This window comes from Homo sapiens, chromosome X, assembly GCF_000001405.40.
Source record: "Homo sapiens chromosome X, GRCh38.p14 Primary Assembly".
Classification (NCBI taxonomy): domain Eukaryota; kingdom Metazoa; phylum Chordata; class Mammalia; order Primates; family Hominidae; genus Homo; species Homo sapiens.
The window spans coordinates 111,548,944-111,554,951 of record NC_000023.11 but is presented as its reverse complement, the minus strand read 5'-3'; the positions used below and the strand labels follow the sequence as shown (position 1 = coordinate 111,554,951).

General features: G+C 37.7%; 1 annotated feature.

Moving 5' to 3' along the window:
- Positions 5,294-5,807: an enhancer, noted in NCBI's record as "OCT4-NANOG-H3K27ac hESC enhancer chrX:110792373-110792886 (GRCh37/hg19 assembly coordinates)". NCBI's record gives its function as "activates a minimal SCP1, AML or CMV promoter by ChIP-STARR-seq in naive and primed H9 embryonic stem cells {active_cell/tissue: H9 hESC(naive and primed)}" and the evidence as "EXISTENCE:reporter gene assay evidence [ECO:0000049][PMID:30033119]".

Genomic DNA, 6,008 nt, shown 5'->3' with positions numbered 1-6,008 from the left:
GTGGTTTAAGAAGTTAACATTGGAAGAGGCAAAGGAATGGGTACATGGGACTTTCCTGTACATTTCTTTTGCAACCTCTTGTGAATCTCTAATTGTTTCAAAATCAAAAGCATATATAGATATACAAAATAAAAAGCATCTATATACTATACACACACAGAGAGAGAGAGAGAGAGAGAGGGAGAGGGAGAGAGAGAGAAGTGAATGAATGTTATCTTCAATTTAAATTTTGTTTATTGAGTGCGTTCTATGGCCAAGACTCTGGTTAATGCAAACTTGAATAAATACATTTTCATTGATCATCCATTTCATTAAAGAGAGTCTTCTTGAGACATTCCAATCAATATACCATTAATCTCTCAAAGTGAAACTTGCCAGTCAGTAACATAAAGTAATTGAAATGTATCAGCTTCCTCAAAATAGATATGAGGATTACATCATTTATTCTTCCCTCCACCATGCCACTAAACTGTTTTTGCTAAATCCACCAAAGATGTCCAAATTTGCCAAATGCAAGTCTAGTTGATCTTTCTGCAACATTTGTCCTTGTTAACCACTTTCTCCTTTTTTTAATAGCTTCTGACTTCTTATTTGGCATTATTTTTCTTTTCAGCAATTTATTCTTTTTTTTTTTTTTAGTTTTCTTTATTATTATTATTATACTTTAAGTTCTGGAATTCATGTGCAGAACGTGCAGGTTTGTTACATAGGTGTACATGTGCCATGATGGTTTCCTGCACTCATCAACCTGTCATCTACATTAGGTATTTCTCCTAATGCTATCCCTCCCCTAGCCCCCCAGCCCCTGACAGGCCCCAGTGTGTGATGTTCCCCTCCCTGTGTCCATGTGTTCTCATTGTTCAACTCCCACTTGTGAGTGAGAACATGTGGTGTTTGGTTTTCTGTTCCTGTGTTAGTTTGCTGAGAGTGATGGTTTCCAGCTTCATCCATGTCCCTGCAAAGGACATGAACTCATTCTTTTTATGGCTGCATAGTATTCCATGGTGTATATGTACCACATTTTCTTTATCCAGTCTATCATTGATGGGCATTTGGGTTGGTTCCAAGTCCTTGCTATTGTGAATAGTGCTGCAATAAACATATGTGTGCATGTGTCTTTATAGTAGAATGATTTATAATCCTTTGGATATATACCCAGTAATGGGATTGCTGGGTCAAATGGTACTTCTGGTTCTAGATCCTTGAGGAATCACCACACTGTCTTCCACAATGGTTGAACTAATTTACACTCCCACCAGCAGTGTGAAAGCGCTCCTATTTCTCCACATCCTCTCCAGCATCTATTGTTTTCTGACTTTTTAATGATCGCCATTTATAATGGTGAAGTTAGGATGTTTATAAGATTGTAAAGTCTGGTCTTTTAATCATAACCAAGGGGCTTAGTTATGATTGGGTGAGGATCATGATATAATAGTTTAGTCATGGGCCAAGCAGTCCACCAATGGTCTTTCAAGACTATCCTGATGGTTCTTCCAGGAAGTTCCTGGAATGAAAAAATAGTTTATTTGCAACTTTTATCTTTCTGAGAAAGAGTTTCCTGGAATGGTAAAATTACACCGATGAAGGCAGTGAAAGAATAACGTCATGTTAATGTAGATGGTAAGCTGTGTGGGTGTATATGGTCTCAGTTTTCATTATCAAGCAGACAAGAAAGAAAGAATAAGAAAAAGAATAAAAATATATTTACATATTAAATTAGTAAAAATGGATACTGAACAAGTAATTTCCATTTATTATCATATTTTTGTTGTAACCTGACTTAAGCCAATTTGTCCTCCACAAGGGTTAAGTTTGAATATCTAGAAGCTGAGGACTATAGGGCTTCACATTGCACAATCTTGCTACTACATGGTATGTTACAATGAATGGACATTGTAGACTGAGTTATCCCGCACATGTAAACATTTATTAGCAAGCAGGCACAAGAAAGTCTTACAACTTGTTACAATAAGCTCAGAAAAGTCCTGCTCCATCTTTTTGAGCACTTTTACAAGCATCCTGCATAAAAGTTTCACCCTAAAGCAAATGTTCTGACAGTAAACTTCTGTAAACTATTTGGGTCATGGAACAAAATCCTTTCTTTTAATGGGAGTTGGGGGCGTTACAGGAAAGGAAAGAATTCTAGGTGTGAAAGACAAAATACACTGGATAATTAAAGAGATAATCTCATTGAAGCTACTATAATAGGGAGAACATTCATTAATGGGGAACATCTCCGTGAAAAGGAAGGGGGCATGGAGTTTTACAGAGGCAGGTAAACAAGGGAGTCATCCACAAGGCTTATGGGAGCCCTGAGAAGGATGAAAATGGATCTTATATGAGAATATATGAGAGTAGAGTAGTACTTTGAGGTTAGCCAGAATATAAAAGGGTGGGGAAAATTCTTAACTGTTGCTGCCTTCCAGGAGCACAGGGATCAGATAAAGTTTGGCATTGTCATCAGTACTCCTTAGAAGATATTGGGCTCTTGGCTCACCAGGTTCTTATACCCTTTTTGTGCAAGGGCAGAGCTGCCTATAGAATATTTCCAGCCAACATATATTTTTTGAACATCACTGATTAGAACCAATTATTTTGAGAAGAGTATTTTAGATAGGATGGCCACGGGAGGCCTCTCTGAGGAGGTCATTTTGGAATAGACACCTGAACTCATTAAGCGAGCAAGTCATGCAAGGGGAAGTGTATTCCAAACAGAGTAACAGAAAGAGTGAAGACCACTAGGCACAATGATCATCTGGAAATAAATTAGGCTACACAAATGGGAACAAGCACAGGCTATTTATTCAGAACTTGTTATAGCTTGGGAGTCAGCAGCCACCATTACTTGCATTTGGCAGAGACTCAATAGTAGGTAGAAGAGTAGGAAATCTTTGTCATGGGAAAAAGGGATTGCTTCAGGCATGCTCTGATTGGAGGCTGTTGGCATGGTGAAGCTATAGGCAGGCTAACTAGAAACAGGGCATCCTATGTGATCGGCTAGTGATGCATATTTGGCTTTCTCTGGTTGGTCCTAAGTTGGAAGTGGGGGCAAAAAATAGGAAAGCTGTCAGGTACTAATCAGTCCTGGCTATTATGAGCTGATTGTTACAGAGACTATTGTTTGGCTTGCTGGATTGGCTATTAGAGACAGTAGTCTGGCTTCCTACAAATCTGATTTCTGGTTAGTTAATTGACTTCCTGAACTGGTTCCTGCAGTTTATGGGTCAGAGTTCTATTTTTTTTTTTTTAATATGGTTTGGCCATTGTCTGTATATTCGGTCTCTTAAGCATGATGTGTTGGAAGAACAGCAGGAAGGCTAGTGTGATTAGCGTAGAGGGAAGGAGAAATTGTTAGGAGATGATGTTAGAGAGATCGGTAGAGAGTAGATCTGGTAGGGTCTTGAAATCCATGGTAATGAGTTTGGTTTTATTCCATATTCCCTTTGGAATATTCTCAGTGGGGAAGTGACATGAGTTGATTTAGTTTTAAAAGGTTACTTTTGCTATTATATGGGTAAAAAAGACTACAGAGAGATAAGAGTAGAAGCAGAGAGGCCACTAAGGAGATTATTGCCATAGTTTAGGTGAGAGAAGATAGTGGCCTGAACCAAAATGGTAGCTATGGAGGTAATAAGAAGCAGTGAGTTATTTGGACATGTTTGGAAGGTAGAGCCAACATGATTTGTTGATGGGTTGGATGTATGTGAGATAGAGCAGTAAAGAATATCTCCAATGGGTTTGTCCTGAGCAAATGCTACCATTACAGAGATGAAGCAAACCTTTGTGAATGTTTTTATGCTCCTTCATTAAATCATGTCTTCTTATCCAGCACACATATGCTACTTGAGGGTAGTGATGGAGCCTACTCAAGTTTTCTTTCCATTGTGCTTATTAGAGGATTATATAGCATACAGACTTAAGTGACTATTGCTGACTGACACTGCTAAATAAATTGAACAAAAAATTTTAAAGTTTTGATTCTAGGCCACCAGGTGACATTTCTAATTGGGATGCCTCTATTCTCTTTCTTTCATCATTCTTTTGATAAGTAAAAGAAATGCAGAATATTTAGCAAATCTTTAAGGGGTAAATTTACCTGCTTATTATTATTACAGTTATTCTAGGCAAAGTGGCCAGATGTTATAACTTGATATAGAAGAATACAAATATTTACATTCATTTGAATCCAGAGTTTAGAAAAAAAAACTATTTGCACATTGTACTCCTGGAGAAAAGGAAACATCAATATCAATGAGAAAATTATTGCTGAATTGTAGATTATATATAAATCTGTTAGCTGCATTCTCATTCTAAACTATTTGTTAAGTGCCTGGGTATGGAAGATTTTCTTCTGCTATGATATAAATCTGGATTTTTTGCTTCTTGTAAATCTGTAAATGCAACATAAGGACTATTTTTCTCCATTATTCTATCATGATACTCCTATTAATCATAGTGTTATGTAGAAATATTAGGGAACAGTAATGCTTGGTTAGTAATGGAATTTACATATGAAAAGCAAGTGATGCATATTCAATTGCCTCTCTTTCAGAGTCTCATCATTATCACATGAGTCATTACTGTGTAACTACCTTGTTTTGATTGATTATATATATGAATCCAATATAAATGAGCATAGCTGTTAGGAAAGCTTCCTCCCATTACATTCTCATGAAATAGCCATCAGTATATTTAAATTCTGCTTTTATAAATTTTTATATGGTACTCCCTAATTATCATATGTATCTGAATGTAAGCAAGAGTTTTTCTTTATTATCTACATTTTCATCTTTTCTACTTTCAAAATTGTGCTACAATATTAAGTTTATGACATCACCACTATTTACTTTGATAGAACAACTTACCTTGATAGTAATAGTACATATAAGGTTAAATAAAGGATCGAGCAAAGTGAATATACAGTCTAATAAACGATCAAGCAAAATGATTAACTTTGACTAAAAGTAAATGGAGTCATTTGAACCCAAATATCTACCAGCAAATGAAAAAGATTATAAAATGATTGTTGAAAAACAACCTGTTGCATAGCAAGAGTAAGGCAGTCTTGAAGCAAAACTGCTGTAGTGATTGATGTTTGACTCCTGTAGACCAAGGCATTTTGCAGTGAAGTCAAGAAGCAATGCTTGTAGCATAGATAACCACTCAAGACAAAAACAATGCCCATAGATAAGCCTCCTCCATAAAGATGCCTATCTAACTTTCCCAGTGATCAAAAGTTTTATAAAAGGGCCTGAGACATGACCAGTTGCATATGTTTTCATGCACGTCTGTGTGAAGAGACCACCAAACAGGCTTTGTGTGAGCAACATGGCTGTTTATTTCACCTGGGTGCAGGCGGGCTGAGTCCGAAAAGAGAGTCAGGGAAGGGAGATGAGGGTGTGGCCGTTTTATAGGATTTGGGAAGGTAATGGAAAATTACAGTCAAAGGGGGTTTTTTCTCTGGCGGGCAGGAGTGGGGGTCACAAGGTGCTCAGTGGGGGTGCTTTTTTGAGCCAGAATGAGCCAGGAAAAGGACTTTCACAAGGTAATGTCATCAATTAAGGCAAGGACCGGCCATTTACACTTCTTTTGTGGTGGAATGTCATCAGTTAAGGTGGGGCAGGGCATATTCACTTCTTTTGTGAATCTTCAGTTACTTCAGGCCATCTGGGCATATACGTGCAAGTCACAGGGGATGAGATGGCTTGGCTTGGGCTCAGAGGCCTGACATTCCTGCCTTCTTATATTAATAAGAAAAATAAAACAAAATAATGTTGAAGTGTTGGGGCGGTGACAATTTTTGGGGGGTGGTATGGAGAGAGAATGGGCAATGTTTCTCAGGGCTGCTTCAGGCAGGATTAGGGGCGGCGTGGGAACCTAGAGTGGGAGAGATTAAGCTGAAGGGAGGTCTTGTGGTAAGGGGTGATATTGTGGGGATGTTAGAAGAAACATTTGTCGTATAGAATGATTGATGATGGCCTGGATATGGTTTTGTATGAATTGAAAAA